We start from the raw sequence: 21,120 nt of genomic DNA, 5'->3' as shown, positions 1-21,120 counted from the left end.
TGAACCCAAATGTAACCAGCCCTATTACCTTTCACTTGAAAAATTCATTACTTTTAACCAAAAGGCCTTGGGACTAACCCACTCATCAGCAATGGAGGATTCCAACATTGGTGCCTTCAACTGTCAGTATTTTTCTTGTATTCTGACTTCTTCTTGCCTAGTGGTTCACGAGTTAGATATCTAAGTCCTGGAACAGGACAGAAAGGTACATCAGGGGCTGGCACTCTGGTGGGAGGTGATATATGGACCTATGGTCCCTGCTCTGATGAAATCCAACAATTTCTTTGTGTGTGGGAGGGGTAAGGGAAATCAGATAAATCTGTCTTCTAGCTGAATAGGAGGGCTATCACTCAAAATGAACTCTGACCTCTTCGTTAGTCCAAGCTCTTGGCTCTTGATCTCACTGGTCAATCCAACCATGAATCAGGGCCAAGATTAAGAATAGGCAAGTGAGACACTCACCTGTGCAGAATTTAAAGGGGTGAAAACCCCAATAATCAAGATAAATAATATTTCAATGGAATATTAGAAAAATCAAATTTGCATTCAAGGCAAATGCCTCACTTGCCACACCCTGGTCCTGACCCTGGCCCTGCTTGATATAACTGCTTCTATAATTAGTCACAAGTGAAGGGAAGTAAGTAGTGAGGTCAGTTATAGGCTGGGCATCAGACATCAGTAACAATCAGGGATTGATCAATCCTCAATCTCCCAAGTGCCATGGGAGGCAAGGAGTTGAGATGACCGTGGAATAGAGGATTGGGGTGGGAGGGTATGGAATAATATGCACCTGTTCTGCACATCTGCTAACATTTACCCAATGTCTGGACTGAGAAGCGGAGTTATTTTTTCTCATTACAATGTTGGGGTGGACATCCTCCCCCAGGCACGTGGAATGGCATATGGCAGCATCCTGCATTCGTGTTTGCAGAATACATGTCTGAAACAGCCTTGGAGGACTACTACTCTGGTTTAGGGCTGCAAACCACACTGTGTCATTGAATGAACAAGCAACATTTAACCTGAACTCAAGAAAATGGAAGGAAAGGAGTAAAATGGCAAATAGTTAAACTTGAAGGCTTGCACAAGAAAGTGGGACTAGGCCGGGCATGGTGGCTCACACCTGTAATCCCAGCACTTTGGGAGGCCGAGGCGGGTGGATCACGAGGTCAGGAGATGGAGACCATCTTGGCTAGCACAGTGAAACCCCATCTCTACTGAGAAATACAAAAAATTAGCTGGGCATGGTGGCATGCACTTGTAGTCCCAGCTACTCGGGAGGCTGAGGCAGGAGAATCGCTTGAACCCAGGAGGCGGAGGTTGCAGTGAGCCGAGATCGCACCACTGCACTCCAGCCTGGGCAACAGAGCAAGACTCCATTTAAAAGAAAGAAAGAAAGAAAGAAAGAAAGTGGGACTAGACTTAGACTTATTCTGTGTCATATCAGGGGCAGTTCCAGGAAGCAGATATTAGCTCCATGTGAAGAAAAATGTTTAATAACAAGAATACCCCTAGAGAACTGCCCTAAAGAATGGGGAGCTTCTGGAAAAAGGGTTACAAAAGGGCATTTCTACTTTATGGGGCAGGTTTGCTGAACCTGTTCTTTTTTTTTTTTTTTTTTTTGACACAGTCTCGCTCTGTTGCCCAGGCTGGAGTGCAGTGGTGTGATCACAGATCACTGCAGCCTCAACCTTCTGGGCTCAAGTGATCCTCCCACCTCAGCCTTTCAAGTAGTTGGGACCCCAGGTATGCGCCACCACACCCAGCTATTTTATTTTATTTTGTATAGACAGGGTCTCACTATATTACCCAGGCTGGTCTCAAACTCCTAGGCTCCAGTGATCATCCCACTTTGGCCTCCCAAAGTGCTGGGATTATAGGCATGAGCCACCACGCCCAGCCTGAACCTGTTCTTATAGGGTTGTTGCCAATTCCTATATTCTATTCTTTTTTCTAGATTGGCTGCCAGGAAACATTTGACTCTTATTATATTACTATAAGCATCTTAGGTCACTTCCATAAAAATAGCACTCAGAGTCAGTGGGGAGACCAGTGTGGAATTTTCTGATTCATCTCTGCCTCAAATCATAAAAAAACTTGCTTAACTGATTATTGTAAAAAGTTTGATTCCTTTTTCTTTCTTTTTGTACTGTATCTTTCTTTTCTAAAAGTTGCAGCTTGATTTACCAATTGGAAAATATGTCCTCTTTTCTCATAACATGTGCTTAGCCATGCAAATTGCTGTTGTGTACACTCATAGTCCTTGAGAGATGATGTAGGGGGTTGAAAAATGTCTTGGCTGGCTTTTAGGAGCCTTGGATTATAGTTCTGCTCTTCCGCTATGGCCTTAGGCAAGTCTTTTAAGTTCACTAAGTCATATTTTCCTTGTTAAAAACATTGTTTGGCTTTTGAGATGCAGGCTGGAATGCTATCACAGTTCACTGCAGCTTGGACCTCCTGGGCTCAAGTGATCCTCCTATCTCAGCCTCTGAAGTAGCTGGGACCACAGGCGTGCACCACCATGCCTGGCTAATTTTTGTATTTTTTGTAGAGACGAGGTCTCATTATGTGGCCCAGGCTGGTCTCGAACTCCTGGGCTCAAGTGATCCTCCCGCCTTGGCCTTCCACATTATTGGGATTATAGGTATGAGCCACCATGCCCAGCCTCATTGTTAAAAAAGTTGTAAAAAAATTGATAAAAACATTTGTATATGAGGAGAGGAGAGAAGGAATAGGATAGTTTTCCAGGTCTCTTAGAGCTCTGAAATGTAAAGTTTGTATCATCTCTGAGCTGAGTCTAGCGAAGTTGTTTCATGTCTTGATCCCATTTCTTTCCTCACCTCCACCCCCAATCAAATGATAATAGAAGGTGCGGGGTCAGATAATCAGGTAATGTTACATGACATTTCAGAAAACCACTTTTTTTTTTTTTTTCTGAGAAGGAGTCTCACTCTGTCGCCCAGGCTGGAGTGCAGTGGCACAATCTAGGCTCACTGCAACCTCTGCCTCCTGGATTCAAGCAGTTTTCATGCCTCAGCCTCCCGAGTAGCTGGGATTACCAGCGTGCACCACCATGCCTGGCTAATTTTTTGTTGTTGTTGTATTTTTGGTAGAGATGGGGTTTCGCCATGTTGGTCAGGCTGGTCTTGACCTCCTGGCCTCAGGTGATCCACCCACCTCAGCCTCTCAAAGTTCTGGAATTATAAGCATCAGCTACTGCGCCTGCCTGAGAAAACCACATTTTAAAAATGGACTTGATGGTAGTCTGAGCTACTAGGCGCAACTGTTTATGGAGCAATATTTTTTTATTTCTTATTTTTTTGAGACTGAGTTTTGCTCTTGTTGCCCAGGCTGGAGTGCAATGGTGCGATCTTGGCTCACTGCAACCTCCGCCTCCTGGGTTTAAGTGATTCACCTGCCTCAGCCTCTCTAGTAGCTGGGATTACAGGCATGTGACACCACACCCGGCTAATTTGGTATTTTTAGTAGAGATGGGGTTTCTCCATGTTGGTCAGGCTGGTCTTGAACTCCCGACCTCAGGTAATCCACTCGCCTTGGCCTCCCAAAGTGTTGGGATTACAGGCATGAGCCACTGTGCCTGGCCAGCAATATTGTTTTTAACTGGGTTTTTAATCCAGTAGACATTTACATTAATTGCTAACTTGCTGTCCTTTTTCTGAACTGGCAGTCTGCATGTTGACTTGGTGATTGGCCCCCAAGCACAGAGCTTCAGTGTATCTGGTTGAGCAGTAATGCCTGCTGTGTTTGCAATTAGATGTTAGGGACACTCACAGCTCCAGGGACTTGCACCAGTGCTTTCCCCAGGTTCTCAGGCCTCATGGGCTCAACAGCATGGACTCCCACTTACTGAGCTTCACCTGGCTACTGCCACCTTTGAATGTCCAACCTGCCATCAGAGACCAATGCCAAGTCCCCTGACATGGCACTCTTCTTCAAGGAGACTCACAAGCTACTTGGCAAGTTGATGACATTGGACCCCTATTACTTTAGAAGGGTCAGCGATTTTTTAAAAAATATTTATTTATTTATTTATTTATTGAGATGGAATCTCCTCTACCACCCAGACTGGAGTACAGCGGCCCGATCTTGCTTCACTGCAACCTCCACCTCCTGGGTTCAAGCAATTCTCCTGGCTTAGCCTCCTGAGTAGCTGGGATTACAGGCACACGCTACCACGCCCAGCTAATTTTTGTATTTTTATAGAGATGGGGTTTCACCATGTTGGCCAAACTGGTCTTGAACTCCTGGCCTCAACTGATCCGCCTGCCTTGGCCTCCCAAATTGCTGGGATTACAGACGTGAGCCACCGCACCAGAGGAGGGCCAGAGATTTGCTCTCACAGGAATCAGTATTTTCTCTGAGTATGACTGCCTTTCCTACCTGTAGGGCTTCATTTACCATCATTATCCTGGGGCTTTTGGAATGCCTGATCCACAGGCCTGGATTCTCACACAAGATGGCATCTGAGGAGACCTGCTTCATCATGAAGGAGGTGTGGGAGCAGGTCCTGACCAGTAGGATTCATCGTTCATATCATATACCACAGCATTCACAAGTAGCCATCCTAACAGAGCATCTGAATGATCTGCTGAAGGTGTAATTGAAGTGCCAACTTGGAGACAAGACTCTGCAAGCATGGGGTACCATCTTCCAGGATGAAATATAGGCACTGTATTCATGTTCTATTGCTAGGTAACAAATTAACACAAATTTAGTGGCATAAACAACACATGTTTATTACCTTACAGTTTCTGTGGGTCAAGAGTCTGGGCATAGCTTAGCCGAGTCCTCTGTTCAGGGTCTCCAAGGCTGGAATCGATGTGTCAGCTGGGGCTGGGGTCTCTCTTCTAAGTTCACTTGGTTGTTGGCAGAATTCATTTTCTTGCAGTTGTATAACTTCTTTTTTCTTCAAGGCCAGCAAGAGAATTCTTTTTTTTTTTTTTTTTTTTTTTTGAGACAGAGTCTCACTCTGTCGCCCAGTCTGGAGTGCAGTGGTATGATTTCGGCTCACTGCAACCTCTGCCTCCCGAGTTCAAGTGATTCTCATGCCTCAGCTTCCCGAGTGGCTGGGACTACAGGCGGGTGCCACCATGCCTGGCTAATTTTTGTATTTTTAGTAGAGACGGGGTTTCGCCACTTTGGCCTGGCTACTCTTGAACTCCTGGCCTCAAGTGATCCGCCTGCCTCAGCCTCCCAAAGTGCTGCGATTACAGGCTTGAGCCACCGCACCCGGCCTCCAATTACTATCATTTCTAATGGCCCACAGGGGCACTCATGTTTCCTGAATTTGCAACTGTGGGCTCTGCAGAGTTCAAGGTTCTGTTCTGCAAAGGGGCACATTCTTGCCAGTGGACACAAGTGTGGGTATGGCCAGGCCTTTGGACTTCTTGTGGCCAAGGAGTCAGCACCTTGGCAGGGATACTTGCTCTCAATCAGCAGGAAGAGGCTGCTGTTGTACAACGTGGCAGAGAGGAATGTGTGTGAAACTTGGGTGATCAATCTAGTTGGGCACTTCTTGGTATTCCCTTGCCTGGTTGTGACTGCGAATGGACAAGTGCAGCAACTCTGGTGTGAAATGGATATGATTACCAGGGGCTCAGATCTCACAGGAATGAGGGTTTGGGTTACACCATTGGGAAAGCTAGAGGTGAGGGGAATTTAGAATACATGGTAGAGGAAAGACAGGATGAGAACCAGCTGTGACTCCAATACCAACTGTAGTGACAGGGACTGTAGTTAGTCCTACTAACCTACCTCTTCTAAGTTTCCCTTCAGGAAGAGAGACCCATGGGAACCATGGAGGAGTTCCCTGAATGTGTATGGGGAAATCGATCTGTGCAGTGCAGGGGGTGACCCGTGGTAGCCATGGAGGTGTCCCACTCAGATCTCCCTACAGCAGACCTGCCACAAGGGGTGGAGTTAGCGGACAGCTGTCAAGATCTGCCTCAGCTTTCAAGCTGAGGCTACATGCTTCCCAGACAGCCTCTAAGCAAAGGCCAGGCACTGCCATGGTACAAGGGCTCACCATTTCTGGCCAGTATGGGACTCTTCGGGAGGGCAATCTTTGCACCAGCACTCCCTGTTTTGCAGGCCTAGGCTTTCTCAGAGCTGCACTGCAGTCCAAGGCTCCTCCTACCCAAATATCTTTCCTGGCCCCTCTCCTTTCTCAGGTTTTAGTCCTACATCACGAACTAAAGGTGTTCCTTGTCTGGTCCTGTTCCCTCTCCCTTTTATGTTTTATAGGCGTTGCCCCTAATAAACCTTTTGTATATCTGACTCTGTACCCCTATATTATTGAAAGAGACAGATTTATTGAAGGTGATACCCTGAAATGAAGATGTCCTGTTCTTACAGATGCCCTCTGATCCTATGTTAATAATAGTATTATATGTTTTAAATGTTTGCCTTCTTCTTTCTTTCTTTTTTTTGGAGATGGAGTTTTGCTTCATCCCCCAGGTTGGAGTGCAGTGGTGCGATCTCAGCTTACTGCAACCTCTGCCTCCCAGATTCAACCAATTCTCCTGCCTCAGCCGCCCGAGCAGGTGGGACTACAGGCATGAGCCACCACACCCGGCTAATTTTTGTATTTTTAGCAGACACGGGGTTTCACCACGTTGACCAGGCTGGTCTTGAACTCCGGACCTCAGGTGATCTGCCCTCCTTGGCCTCCCAAAGTGCTGGAATGACAGGCGTGAGCCACCGTGCCTGGCCATGTTTGCCATTTTTAAGCAAGAGAAAATTGTTAGAGGGAAAAGCATTTCTTTTGTTTGTTTGTTTTTTGAGACTGAGTTTTGCTCTGGTTGCCTGGGCTGGAGTGCAAATGGCGTGGTCTCGGCTCACTGCAAACTCTGCCACCCGGGTTCAAGCAATTCTCCTGCCTCAGCCTCCTGAGTAGCTGGGATTACAGTTGTGCACCACCGTGCCCGGCTAATTTTTGGATTTTTGGTAGAGACAGGGTTTCACCATGTTGGTCAGGCTGGTCTTGAACTCCTGACCTCAAGTGATCCACCTGCTGCAGCCTCCCAAAGTGTTAGGATTAAAGGTGTGAGCCACCGTGCCCGGCCTGGAAAAGCATTTCTAAAGACACGAACCTTTCTCTCGCTCTCTCTTTTTTTTTTTTTTTTTGAGATGAAGTCTCTGTTGCCCAGGCTGGAGTGCAATGGCGCGATCTCACCTCACTGCAACCTCTGCCTCCTTGGGTTCAAGTGATTCTCCCGCCTCAGCCTCGTGGACGAGAACCTTTCAACACTTGGATTTGAAGAGCAGTCATAAAAGTGGAGCTGGGGGCCACAAAATTACAAAAATTAGCCAGGCATGGTGGCAGGCACCTGTAGTCCCCGCTACTCAGGAGGCTGAGGCAGTAGAATAGCTTGAACTCAGGAGGTGGAGGTTGCAGTGAGCCGAGATTGGGCCACTGCACTCCAGCCTGGGCAACAAGAGCGAGACTCTGTCTCAAAAAAAAAACAAAAAACAAAAACAAACAAAAAACTAAGCACATTCACGTAACAGCCCACTAGTCTTTCTGTTTTTTTCTTTAACGTTAGGGTGAAAAATACTTTTTTTTATTATTTTTTTTTTGGGACGGAGTCTCACTCTGTCACCCAGGCTGGAGTGCAGTGACACGATCTCGGCTCGCTGCAATCTCCGCTTCCTGGGTTCGAGCGATTCTCCTGCCTCAGCCTCCTGAGCAGCTGGTACTGCATGTGTGCGCCACCACGGCCAGCTAATTTTGAATTTTTTATAGAGACAGGGTTTCACCATATTGGCCAGGCTGGTCTCGAACTCCTGACCTCGTGATCCATCCGCCTCGGCCTCCCAAAGTGCTGGGATTACAGGCGTAAGCCACTGTGCCCAGCTGGAAAATACTTTTACATTGTTTCCTTCTCCCTTCCTGACTTTATTATTACTATTATTATTTATATTCTGAGATGGAGTCTCCCTCTGTCGCTCAGGCTTTGAGTGCAGTGGCACCATCTCGGCTCACTGCAACCTCCGCCTCCCAGGTTCAAGCAATTCTCCTGACTCAGCCTCCCAAGTAGCAGGGAGTACAGACGCGCGACAGCATGCCCTGCTCATTTTTTTTACCTTTAGTAGAGATGGGGGTTTTGCCATGTTGGCCAGGCTGGTCTTGAACTCCTGACCTCAGGTGATCTGCCTGCCTCGAGCTTCAAAGTGCCAGGATTACAGGCGTGAGCCACCGTGCCTGGCCCTCCCCTCCTAACTTTATTGTGGATCCTTTTGTATAATCTGAATAATTGAGGAAATAAGATATATTTTTAAAAAGTTTCTGTGTCCTAATGAAATCGTAGTTCGAATCACTTTGTTTGAAAGTTGATGACAGTTTTCCAGGAACATTTTCTACCTAAATCAGATATCCAAAAGTATATATTATTCAGCAGCCCAAGGAAAGATGGTAACTGGATATTTTTCACTCATAATACTAGATTGAACTAACAATGCCTTTGGCCGGGCGCGGTGGCTCACGCCTGTAATCCCAGCACTTTGGAAGGCCAAGGTGGGAGGATCACGAGGTCAGGAGTTCAAGACCAGCCTGGCTAACATGGTGAAACCCCATATCTACTAAAAATACAAAAATTAGCCGGGTGTGGTGGCACGTGCCTGTAATCCCAGCTACTTGGGAGGCTGAGGCAGGAGAATCGCTTGAACCCAGGAGGCGGAGGTTGCAGTGAGCTGAGACCGCACCACCGCACTCCAGCCTGGTAACAGAGCGAGACTCTGTCTCAAAAAAAAAAAAAAAAAAAAAAAAAGAAGAAGACCTGACAATGCCTTGTTAGGTTTTGTTGTTTGATTTAAACAATTTTTTTTTTTTTTTGTAGAGATGGGGTCTTGCTCTGTTGACCAGGCTGGTCTTGAGCTCCTGTTCTTAAGCAATCCACCCACCTCAGCCTCCCAAAGTGCTGGGATACTGCTTTCCAGCCTTGTTATTTGATTTTATTGTTTTACTTGTAATAACGACATTAATATCTTATGTATCTGTCAGTGCATGATTAAGTAACTTTTAATTACACAATTGATACCATCTCTGTTATCCTGAGACCATATTAAAATAGAACTAATAGAACATAACAGGAAACAAAAAGGTTGGGTAGAGAACCTGTTACTTAAGGACGGTGATTCTCACCACTATACAATTGTTGTATGTTTCCTGTTTTGATTTTGTGACCATTTCCCCTTCCTTCTCTGCTATCCAAAATGTGGTATAGCATATATGCTTGATAATAATGACGACAACAACAACACACACAGAAATCAGAGTTGCTAAGCTGTTTTAAGAATTTTATGCATGCTGCCAATTGAGGTAGTTAGAGACTCGTGGATGAATGCTGGGCAGGCTAGGTCTAGCAGGGGTTCCCTGAAGTTACAACTAAGGTAGGTGGGCTAAGTGATGTGATCATTTTTTTCCCTCTTTAACCTTCTAGTGGACATCTATGTGGTTGGCTGCTCCATACTCCTCTTCTTTTCTTTCTTTCTTTTTTTTTTTTTTTTTTTTTGAGATGGAGTCTCTTGCCCAGGCTGGAGTGCAGTGGCGCGATCTCAGCTCAGTGCAACCTTCGCCTCCCAGGTTCAAGCGATTCTCCTGCCTCAGCCTCCCGAGTAGCTGGGATTACAGGCGCCCACCACCACAGCCAGCTAATTTTTGTATCTTTAGTAGAGGCAGGGGTCTCACCATGTTGGCCAGCCCAGTATTGAATTCCTGACATCAGTTGATCCACTCGCCTCAGCCTCCCAAAGTTCTGGGATTACAGACGTGAGCCACCGCACCCGGCCTCGGTACTCCTTTTCTAAGAAGGTGCTCCGTATCCCCATCTGTACAGTTACTTACAGAAATAACCATGTTAGTAGATTGTGACCCAGTACCTGGCCATGAGTCTGGGTGAGGGGGTTCCTGGTAAGTCAGGGCAAGGGTTCCTTACCCTGATGCCACAGTTGGCTAGTCCAGGAGTGTGTACCTGATCCAAATTGGACCAATGAATCTCTTCTCAGAACTTTTTTGTATTTGGGCCGTAGAAATTTCAGTCAGTCTGTATGTGTGTGGCTGTGGTTGTAAGATGTAAAGTTCAGGAGCTTCTATTGCCATATGGAGAATGTCATTACATAGAGAGAAAAAAGAATGAAGCCAGTATGCAAAGGAAAGCAAAGATAAGCAATAGAGAGAAGGCATCTGCATGGCATTAAGTCCCTGGTTTCAGCTGTTCCAGCCAAAATCGATGGTGTTTATTATATTGATGAGAATGTGTCTTTATAATTTGGAAATTGACGGAAGGCGACTTGATTGCGGGAAAAACTATAAACTGTACCTACCTATTATACCATTTACAAAAAATTCTCTCTTGTACTTATTTTTTCTCCCTGAGCCTCCTATTGCTTCAAAGAAAAGTTCAAGTAAAAAGAAGAACAAAAATAGCATAATTCAATACAATATTTATTGCCCTCTGTGTTAGGTGTGGTAGAGTATAAAGAAATATGGCTGACCCAAAACCAACAAGACAATCACTGAAAAGTGACTTGTGAACAATGTGAACAATGTGACAAAAATGAAAAGACAATGTGAACAAAAATGAAGGAGAGATCCTTGTAGGCTAAAAGGGGAGTCTTCCAGATGTGAGATTGATAAAAGCAGGGAAAATTCAGTAGAAAGAGAAAGCCGAAGACCATGCTCCATGTGTAACTCATGAAGTGATTCAAAACAGAAAGCTAGCTTAATTCAAATCAATACATTTTTACTAAGTATGGGGTATTGCGAAAAAGCATATGGCCCTTGCCTTTTAGGAAATTGCCGTATTTAGAGGCAAAGCAAGACTTGCTTATATTCTCAAAAGATCCCCACTCGTTACCTTATTTCCCCTTTAAACCGCTTTACCATATTTGAGATCATGTTATTTGCTAACTTGTTTGTTGATTTGTTTTCCTTCCTTATCAAGAGGCAAGCCCCTTAAGGGCGGGGATTTTTGTCCTTTTTTCTTTTTGCAACCCCAACCTCTGCAATAGTGCCTGGCACAATGCAAACAGCTCAATAATAATTCGTTGAAAGAAATGGAGAATTAGATCGTAGGGTGAAATAATCTTAAACTCTCTGGCCTTGAATCTCTCTAGCTCGCCCAAGATATCAAACATTGGGGGTCAGGCCGAGAAGAGGAGAGGAACAATTTTTTCCTGTTAGGTCAGTGGTTTTTAGCCTTTGGTTACATTAGCATCACCTGGGGGCATCTTTAGACATCATCCCGAAGCCCAGACCGCACCCAGGACTAAACTAGAATCTCCAGCCAGTGGGTCTCAAGCATCAGTTTTTTGTTGTTTTTTTTTTGAGACATTGTCTCCTTCTGTCGCCCAAGCTGAAGTGTAGTGGTGCGATCTCGGCTCACCGCAACCTCCGCCTCCCAGGTTCAAGCGATACTCGTGCCTGTCCCCCGAGTAGCTGGGATTACAGGCGTCTGCCACCACGCCTGGCTAATTTTTGAATTTTTAGTAGAGACAGGGTTTCGCCATGTTGGCCAGGCTGGTCTTGAACTCCTGACCTCAGGTGATCTGCCCGCCTAGGCCTTCCAAAGTGCTGGAATTACAGGCGTGAGCCACCGCGCCCGGCCAAGTATCAGTATTTTGGAAAGTTGCCCAGGAGATTCCAATGTGCAGCCAAGGGGAAGAACAGACGGAGCCAAGGCGCGGGGATCAAGGATAAAGGAGACAAGCTCCACTAGGCAGAGCCGGGCCTCTTCTCGACGTCACGCCCTGGCGTTGCTGCGTGGTTCGTTTACTCAACCGAGAATAGGCCGGTCCTCGCTGTAGCAACACGACCCGCACAACTGATTGAGTGGGAAGCTCCGCAGAGGCGGACTCCAGCCTCCCGCCAATGAACGGGTAGGGTCCGCCCGGCACAGCGCGGCCACGCCCCCTGGACGCCGCGGTCCCGCCCCCGGACACCGCTGTCCGGCTCCCGGGCTGTCCTCAGCAAGGGCGCGGTCTGGTACTCGTGCGTCTTTTATCGCCTCAGTTTCCCTCCGCCGACTAGCGCGCGGGGCCCGGTTCTCCATCGCGCGCACGGCAGCCTAGCGCAATGAGGCGGGCAGCACTGCGGTAGGTGGCGGGGCGTGGAAGGGGCTGGCAGGGCGGTAGCCTGGGGTGCCATCGTCTTCCCCTAGAGCTTCGGGCTGGCCCCGGCGGAAGAAGTGGGCCACGCATGGGCATTTGGGCTCTATGATAAGGGGCGCTCGCCCACTGTACCTCCGACCGGACATAAGCCCGCCGGCCTTTGGTTGGGAGAACCTCGCCCCCACTTTGGCGACTTCTAGCACTGAGTTTGATATTAAAAGCAAAGCAGCACTTTTAAGGGAGGAAGTTGGGTGTTCCCTAAAATTCCTTTGGCCTTGCTCATCCGGGGTGTGGTTGGTAGCCGCGTCGGGGTAGCCCCTTGTCAGAAAGATAATATTTGGAGTTCTATGTTACCTCTAGCCCTTCATCTTCCTTTGGAGAACATTTTTAGGATTAAATGCTTGACCTACTTCGGCTCTTACTTAAGTTTGTTGTAACATTGGCAGAGATTACAGGGTACCTTTTGGCTCCCAGGACCCTAGGACTGTGCGTCTAGGACCCTGGTGCCAATTTGAACTTAACTTTAATGAGCCGCAAAGCCCTTATAAGAGGCTGGGTGCTTTGATTGGGCCACGTGGGTAAGGGAGGATGCCTTTTTGTATATGTAATCTTCCCAGCTGGCACAGTTAAGGCCTGAGGGCCTTAGACTCCAGAGCGTGTCTAGCTCTCCCTAATCCCTTTCACCCGAGCATGCCACCCTTTCCAAGTTTTCTGCCTGGCTGCATCCCAGGGGGCTCACACCTGCTCCAGTTTCTGAAGTTATCTCGCTGCCAGTGGGCCTGTCCCCCTGATGTGACTCATAGTGCTTTTGACTCACATTAACCCCATCAATTCTCTTGGGGGTCCTGGATATCTCTCTCTCTCTCTCTCTCCCTCTCTCTCTCTCTCTCTCTCTCACTCACTCACTGTTCCTGGGGACTTTGTTATCAGTTGTAAGGGTTCTGTCTTGTTTATAGTACTTAAAAACAAACAAAAAACCTTTGTTAAACTATTTGAAGGCAGACTGAAAGTCATTATGAGAGGGGCCACAGTTGACTTTAGCTTGCAATGTGAAAGGTCTTCTACAAAAGCTCCATGGTCTTGTTCAGGTGCTTTCTCTTATAACCCTGTGTTCCTTTCTTGAAAATTCTATTGAGGCCGGGTGTGGTGGTGCACGACTGCAGTCCCAGCGTTTTGGGATGCTGAGGTGGATGGATCACTTGAGGCCAGGAGTTCGAGACCAGCCTGGCCAACATGGTGAAACCCCGTCTCTATTAAAAATACAAAAATTAGCCGGGAGTGGTGGTGCATGTCTGTAGTCACAGCTACTTTTGGAGGCTGAGGCAGGAGAATCGCCTGAACCGGAAGGCAGAGGTTGCAGTGAGCTGAGATCGCGCCCCTGCACTCCAGCCTGGGCAACACAGTGAGATTCTGTCTCAAACAAAAAACTATTGAACCTTAAGCGGATAATCTCTTAGTGTCTAGTGAGAGGAGGAGTTCACAAATGAATATAGACTGAGATGATTAGGTTCTTTGACTGGTGGGCAACCTTTGTAGCTTCTTTTCTTTTTTAGACTTGCAAGAGGCACCTTTGTTTAGTCTCTAAATAGAGGTTATTTCCTCAGAGTGGAGGGCATATGAGTGGTATTGCCTGTTATTGCACTGAACACTCTTCCTTGCCAACTGCTGTAAGCTTGGGACCCAGGGCTGAGCCAGGGTGAGTTATGTGACTCCCCAGGTAGGCCATGGAGGCCTTGAGTTTTCTTTTTTTTTTTTCTCTTTGAAATACTTTTTTTATTTCTTTGGGATATATGTCCAGAAGAGAAATTGCTGGATCATATGGTAGTTATATTTTTAATTTTTGGAGGAACTGCCTCATTATTTTTCAAAATGGCTGTACCAGTTTACATTTTCACCAATAGTGTACGAGGGTTCCCTTTTCTCTACATCCTCACCAACACTTGTTATCTTTTGTCTTTTTGTAATAATCATCTTTTTATTATTATTATTATTATACTTTAAGTTTAGGGTACATGTGCACAATGTGCAGGTTAGTTACATATGTATACATGTGCCATGCTGGTGTGCTGCACCCATTAACTCGTCATTTAGCATTAGGTATATCTCCTAATGCTGTCCCTCCCCACTCCCCCCGCCTTGAGTTTCTTGATCTCCTTTGATTGGAAAGGTTCAGTTACAAGGTCCTGGGATTTGAGTGTTGCAAAGGCCTCTCCACAGTAAAGGCCTAGAGGTTTTGCTATAAGTAAGACTCCTGAGGGCTTATCAGGAGATAAGCCAGTAACCCTGAGGTACTGAAGTGTTGAGTATTGATTAAAACCATTCTCCCACCTCCTCCACCTCAGTGCGGTGTGTGTGTGTGTGTGTGTGTGTGTGTGTGTGTGTGTGTGTGTGTATGTATTGGGGGAGATCGGAAGAACTGGGCTCTATCTGGACTCTGCTGGTGTGCCTGTTGACTGGCACTGGGGGAAAGTCGTCTGAAACTGGGGCCTCAGTTTCTTAAGGAGGTTGGTTTGAATCAGAATCTTCAAATATAGGGGGATCTGAGGGTACAAAAAGGGTCTGTGCACCTCCTGAAATAGTATATACCATTGTGTGTGTGAGCAAAAATGTATTCCAACCCTTCCCACGCCCGCTCGAGGTCCACAGTTTCCATCAGATTATCAGTAAATAGGATACCAAATGTAGTGAAAAGTTACCATTACATGCCAGGCGCGGTGGCTCACGCCTATAATCCCAGCACTTTGGGATACTGAGGCGGGCAGATCACTTGAGGTCAGGAGTTCAAAACCAGCCTGGTCAACATGGTGAAGCCCTGTCTGTACTAAAAACACAAAAACTAGCTGGGCATGGTGGTGCACAGCTGTAATCCCAGCTGCTCGGGAGGCTGAGGCTGGAGAATCGCTTGAACTCGGGAGGTGGAGGTTGCAGTGAGCCAAGATGTTGCCACTGCACTCCAGCCTGGGTGACAGTGAGACTGTCTCAAAAAAAAAAAAAGTTACCATTACCCGAATACTCTTGAATGCTATGTTGACAGTATGATATAGATTTATTATTACCAATATGCTATTGGTATAAGCAACATTTTTTTAAAAAGTGTTCCAATTATGCCTTTGTTGTGCCACAGGAATGTATTTCCAAATTTTTTAAGGCAGCATGCAAAGCAATGGGGCTCTAGGACTACAATTTTCCAAATAAATTGGCCCAAGTGTTTCTCTGTATTCATTAACTCCCTTCTTTTCTCTCCTCATTTGATTCTATGTTTGGCAGTGGTCCGTGATAGTGCCTGGCTTAGGCTATCTTTCCTTTTTTTTTGGAGACAGAGTCTTGCTCTTTTACCCAGGCTGGAGTGCAGTGGTGCGATCATGGCTCACTGCAGCCTCGACCTCCCCGGGGCTCAAGTGATCCTCCCACCTCAGCCTCCTGAGTAGCTGTGACCACAAGTGTGCACCACTACGCCTGACTAATATTTTAAAATTTTTTTGTAGAAACGGGATCTCCCTATGTTGCCCACACTGGTCTCAAGTGATCCTCCCGCGTTGGCCTCTCAAAGTGCTGGGATTACAGGCGTGAGCCATTGTGCCCAGCCTGGTTCTTTTTGATCTTTAGGGGAGACTTTGGAGAAGCATGACTTTCTGGAATAATGATAGCTAGAGATTTTTGAGGACTTGTCAGTATATTAGACATGCTCTTCTAGACGTGCCCTTCAGGGTTTAATATGTGTTAATTCCTTTATCCTTTTGACAATCCTATGGGATAGGTAGTATTATTATCCCCATTTTACAGATGAGGAAACTGAGGATCAGGGAGGTTAGGTAACTTGTCTAAGGTAACTCAGCTAACAAGCAGCATGATTGGGCTCTTTTTTTTTTGAGACAGAGTCTCGCTGTGCAGTGGCACGATCTCGGCTCACCGCAGCTTCCGCCTCCTGGGTTGAAGCAATACTCCTGCCTCAGACTCCCGAGTAGCTGGGACTGCAGGTGCCCGCCAGCATGCCCAGCTAATTTTCATATTTTTAGTAGAGACGGGGTTTCACCATATTGGCCAGGCTGGTCTCAAACTCCTAACCTCAAGTGATACGCCTGCCTCGGCCTCCCAAAGTGTTGGCATTACAGGCATGAGCCACTGCGCCCAGCCTTTGGGTTAACCCCTATACTGTATTGCCTCTCACACAAACAGGATGGAATGATTTTCATCCCTCTTCAGAAAATGCTGCTTCTTAGTGTAACAAAACAATTTCTGTGTATATGTGTATTTATTCAGGTATGTGAGACTGGTTATATAGCTCCTGTTAGTGATGCGTATTCAGGGTATTTAGCCATTCAGAATCAGATCCCATTTCTTATGTTGGATACATTTAACGTGTCTATTATAGTTCCTATTAATGTGTTGGGGGTCATGATTTTTTTGCTCTTTCAGCTAATGGTAGCAATAGAAAGGATTAGCTTTTTCCAGTGTGTTCTTTAAAACCAGATATATTCAGTTGTAGAATGCTAGTTTCTTTTTTGAGATGGAGTCTTGCTCTGTTGCTCAGGCTGGAATGCAATGGGGCCATTTCAGCTCACTGCAACCTCTGCCTCCTGGGTTCAAGTGATTCTGCCTCAGCCTCCAGAGTAGCTGGGACTACAGGTGTGCGCCACCATGCCTGGTTAATTTTTATGTTTTTAATAGAGATAGGGTTTCACCATGTTGGCCAGGCTGGTCTCGGACTCCTGACCTCAGGTGATCTACCCACCTCAGCCTCCCAAAGTGTTAGGATTACAGGCATGAGCCACCATGCCTGGCTGCTTGTTTCTGAGATGGAAGAATGAAGGAATACTTACTCTGTTTCCTTCAGTAAGGCATATGAACCTATAGAAGATACATAAAACAAAATAATGAAAAAAATGGAAAATTCAAATCACGTTCTGAGAAAATGCAGATTAGATGGTCAAAAACAAAAAGACGGCCAGGTGCGGTGGCTCATGCCTGTAATCCCAGCACTTTGGGAGGCCAAGGTGGGCAGATCACAGGGTCAGGAGTTTGAGACCATCCTGGCTAACATGATGAAACCCCGTCTCTACTAAAAATACAAAAAATTAGCCGGGCGCGGTGGCGGCGCCTGTAGTCCCAGCTACTCGGGAGGTTGAGGCAGGAGAATGGCGTGAACCCGGGAGGCAGAGCTTGCAGTGAGCCGAGATCGCACCACTGCACTCCAGCCTGGGCGACAGAGCGAGACTCTGTCTAAAAAAAAAAAAAAAGACAAATATTAATCTGTATACGAAAGTACAGGAATTGAATATTTATCGTGAAAAAGTGAAGCTAAAATATTTAAGAGAGAGGCTTGTTAGCTGTGTGATTGAAGAATAAACAGATCCAAAACCCCAAACCCTCCAGCAAGAATTTTGGTCTTAGTGGACCAGCAGGGATTGTATTGCAACCAAATAAGATGACTGGTGACTAAGAAGTTCAATTAGCCAATGAGTATGTGCTCATATTTCTGTGTTCTGTGCAATTAGATGATTTGACTTGGTGAAAGGATAAGGATTTGTTCTAACAGCACAGTGTCAAAACTGCATGTAGATTTTACAGAATACTGTAAATACTGAGAGGCTTTCTCTGAATGCTGTCATTCAGAAGAGAAACCTATAGTAGCTTGGTCTGTAAAGAAAACTAAAAATATCTCTTTTTTTTGTTGTTAGTCATTGCTTATTCCCACATTAGGTGGTGAGAATTTACTAGTAAATTGAACTGGAATGAGTGACAGTATCTGGGGTTCTGGGTTTTTTTTGTTTGTTTGTTTTATTTTTGTTTTTGTTTTGAGACAGAGTCTTGCTCTGTTGCCCAGGCTGGAGTATAGTGGTGTGTTCTCGGCTCACTGCAACCTCCATCTCCTGGGTTCAAGCGATTCTCCTGCCTCAGCCTCACAAGTAGCTGGGATTACAGGTGCCTGCCACCACACCCGGCTAATTTTTGGATTTTTAGTACAGACAGTGTTTCACCATGTTGGCCAGGCTGGTCTCGAACTCCTGACCTCAAGTGATCCACCTGCCTTGGCTTCTCAAAGTGCTGGGATTACAGGCATGAGCCACCACGCCTGGCCTGCGGGGTTCTTAACCTATTCAGTGCCTTGCCTTCTTCAACTGTGCTCTCACAGATCAGTTTATTAATCTGTGATATTGCCTGTGTGCTACCCCTGACATAATATTGTGTGATTAGGAGTCAATGCTTAAGCAATAATGAACCAAAATCAACTTATTTTGGGAGAGTAGGTTAGGCACATTTAGGTAGACAGCTTTTATTTTTTATTTTTTTGAAGCAGGGTCTCACTCTGTTGCCTAGGCTGGAGTGCAGTGGTACAATCTTGGCTCACTGCAGCCTCGACCTCCTGGGTTCAAGTGATCCTCCCATCTGAGCCTCTTGAGTAGCTGGGACCACAGGTGCATGCCACCACGCCCGGCTAATTTTTGTATTTTTTGTAGAGATGGGGTTTTGCCATGTTGCCCAGGCTGGTCTTGAACTCCTGGGCTCAACCTGTCTACCTGCCTCAGCCTCCCAAAGTGCTGGGATTACAGGCCTGTGCCACCGTGGCCAGTAGATAGCTTTTATTTTATTGTGTTGGGACTCTAGAAAATTTCTGCGTAAGTTAAATAAATACTTTCTTTGCATCTGGAAAGGGCTAATTCAATTTTCAAAGTTTACTTTATAATTGGGTTTATCTTATTTATTGAGGAAATATGGTGCGATAATAAAGAACAGAATAAATTGTTCATAATGAGTTTGCTCAGTTGTTTACTAAATCGATTATGGACTTCTGAAACTAATAAAATAGAAAGACCAATAATAAATGCATTAAACCTAGTTGCCGTCTTTTATTTATTTTGTAGATAATTACCTAATTGGTCTCTGCTCTCAAGAAATGTTTACTCTAGTGGGAGAGATGATTTATGGAATAGCCTCATGAAAACATACATATACTTGTGAAACAGCTACAGACTCCTACAAGACAATATATACTAAGGGTGATATGGCCAGATACTCTGGGAGGAGGGTAGGTCTTTAGGGTTGCCAGGGAAGAAGCTGTGGGATCTGCTCTGTGTTTTATCTTGTTTTATAGGCTTTGTGCCTTGGGCAAAGGGCAGCTTACTCCTGGAAGAGGACTGACTCAAGGACCCCAGAACCCCAAGAAACAGGGAATCTTCCACATTCATGAAGGCAAGCATGGTGTCTCTGTTTGATGCCTATGTGGTGAAAAACCTTGTTTTACTTTTATTTGAAAGGTATATAGAGTGATAGTTTAGAGCAAATGAGGCATATTAAAGGTAGATCTTTCATAAACATTTCATTGACAAAATGACCAGGATAGCTGCATAATATTAATAGCTTCAGATAGAAGTCACATTCAGATTTTGAACTATTGTTCCTGGGAGCCTTGAGGACTGAGCTCTTTTAGTTAGGTGATTTCCACTTCCTGTGTGTAGGTTCTGAAGGCATGGAAAAAAAGAGATGGGCCCATTAGTTGTATCAAGTAAACACTCCTAGTCCATAGTTATGTTCGAGGGATCCTGTTAGTCCATGCTTAATTAAAGTTAATTTCAATTACCAATATGATACGTAAACTATGGATTGTCTTTATTAAACTAGGAGTATTCGTTATAATTAAAATTGCGGCTTCTTTAAAGGGTCCAAATAAATTTATATTATGTGTGTATATAAATATATATGTAAGTAAAATTAAAAAGTTTTTCCTTCTTGGCCCTCAATACTTGCCTCTCTTCTTACACTGATTAAGCTAGTAGTAATTATTTTATGTCAGTGAGCATCAGTAGTCCATGTACTATTTGAGGTACTTTCTGTCCATTCTTTTTTTTTTTTTTTTTTTTTTTTTTTTTTGGGATGGAGTCTTGCTCTGTCACCCAGGCTGGAGTGCAGTGGCAGGATCTCGGCTCACTGCAACCTCTGCCTCCCTAGTAGCTAGGATTACAGGCATGCTCCACCACGCCCAACTAATTTTTGTATTTTTAGGAGAGATGGAGTTTCGCCACGTTGGCCAGGCTGGTCTTGAACTCCTGGCCTCAAGTAATCTGCCTGTCTTGGCCTCCCAAAGTGCTGGGATTACAGGTGTGAGCCTTTTTTTTTTTTTTTTTTTTTTGAGATGAAGTCTCACTCTGTCGCATAGGCTGGAGTGCAGTGGTGGGATCTTGGCTCACTGCAACCTCCGCCTCCCAGGTTCAAGTGATTCTCTGCCTCAGCCTCCTGAGTAGCTGGGATTACAGGTGCCCACCATGCCAGGCTAATCTTTGTATTTTTAGTAGAGACGGGGTTTCACCATCTTGGCCAGGCTGGTCTTGAACTCCTGACCTCATGATTCACCCACCTCGGCCCCATCCATTCTTTTATTCAAGGAACTTAGGAGGAAAAAATCAGAAATAAGACTAAGTTACTAATGGTTGTTGTTTGCAGTTCTCTAACATTTAGTTGTAATTATACATCAAATTTATGGTGTATCCAAAATTGTTTGATAGAAAAATCAACCATTTTTCATGAAAGTTAAAATGCATGTTCATATAAATTATATTTGGTTTTGATCAGTTAGTTATTGAAGGACTGAGGATTGCTATAGTTAATTTCCTATAACTGGAATGTATATTTTGAAGTGCTAGGAAAAACACATAAACTCAACACAGTATTTGAAATACTACAGATTTATCTTTTAGTTTTGAATTATTGCTGGTTCTCTAATTGATTTTCCCTTTATTCATATAGCATGTTCATCTATACATGTGAATCATGGTGTGTGTGGTAATTAGTATCAGCTTTTCTTTTAAGAGCTTAAATTTTGTAAGCACTAATATACGCTTGCACTTTTGGGCAGTGGCATTAACTAAAATTGCATTCTTTGCCTTAGCTTGATGTAAGTCTTTGCTTCATTTTTCTGGCTTAAACTTTTCTAACAACCAGGAGACTATAAATATATGAGAAATTAATTATAATGAGACTCAGATTTGGATATTA

The 21,120-nt window shown here is 45.2% G+C and overlaps 1 protein-coding gene and 1 long non-coding RNA gene across 4 annotated transcripts in view, besides 3 other annotated features; both read left to right on the top strand.

Moving 5' to 3' along the window:
* SAT1-DT (SAT1 divergent transcript) overlaps nt 1–6,297 on the top strand; it is a 34,045-nt gene extending 27,748 nt beyond the window's left edge. The window contains exon 5 of the long non-coding RNA NR_184056.1: nt 4,408–6,297. This is a non-coding gene — a long non-coding RNA (SAT1 divergent transcript). The remainder of the gene's footprint in view (nt 1–4,407) is intronic.
* Nucleotides 2,350–2,537: a silencer, noted in NCBI's record as "fragment chrX:23770819-23771006 (GRCh37/hg19 assembly coordinates)". NCBI's record gives its function as "represses an EF-1alpha promoter that drives an FKBP-Casp9 reporter gene in an ReSE screen in phorbol 12-myristate 13-acetate-treated (for megakaryocytic differentiation) K562 erythroleukemia cells {active_cell/tissue: K562(+PMA)}" and the evidence as "EXISTENCE:reporter gene assay evidence [ECO:0000049][PMID:32094911]".
* Nucleotides 11,794–12,113: a silencer, noted in NCBI's record as "silent region_20705". NCBI's record gives its function as "represses an Ori minimal core promoter by ATAC-STARR-seq in GM12878 lymphoblastoid cells {active_cell/tissue: GM12878}" and the evidence as "EXISTENCE:reporter gene assay evidence [ECO:0000049][PMID:35858748]".
* Nucleotides 11,963–21,120, top strand: part of ACOT9 (acyl-CoA thioesterase 9) — a 42,222-nt gene continuing 33,064 nt past the window's right edge. Inside the window, exons 1-3 of one of the 3 annotated variants that reach the window (NM_001037171.2) lie at nt 11,963–12,114; nt 19,223–19,320; nt 20,872–20,898. In NM_001037171.2, the coding sequence (NP_001032248.1) occupies nt 12,095–12,114; nt 19,223–19,320; nt 20,872–20,898 (145 nt within the window). In that variant the 5' untranslated portion in view covers nt 11,963–12,094. The remainder of the gene's footprint in view (nt 12,115–19,222; nt 19,321–20,871; nt 20,899–21,120) is intronic. The other 2 variants (NM_001033583.3, NM_001330259.2) reach the window with 2 other exon arrangements.
* Nucleotides 12,384–12,433: an enhancer, noted in NCBI's record as "active region_29490". NCBI's record gives its function as "activates an Ori minimal core promoter by ATAC-STARR-seq in GM12878 lymphoblastoid cells {active_cell/tissue: GM12878}" and the evidence as "EXISTENCE:reporter gene assay evidence [ECO:0000049][PMID:35858748]".

Source organism: Homo sapiens, chromosome X, assembly GCF_000001405.40.
Source record: "Homo sapiens chromosome X, GRCh38.p14 Primary Assembly".
Taxonomy (NCBI): domain Eukaryota; kingdom Metazoa; phylum Chordata; class Mammalia; order Primates; family Hominidae; genus Homo; species Homo sapiens.
The sequence above is the reverse complement of the archived record's forward strand: the minus strand, read 5'-3'. Positions and strand labels throughout refer to the sequence as shown.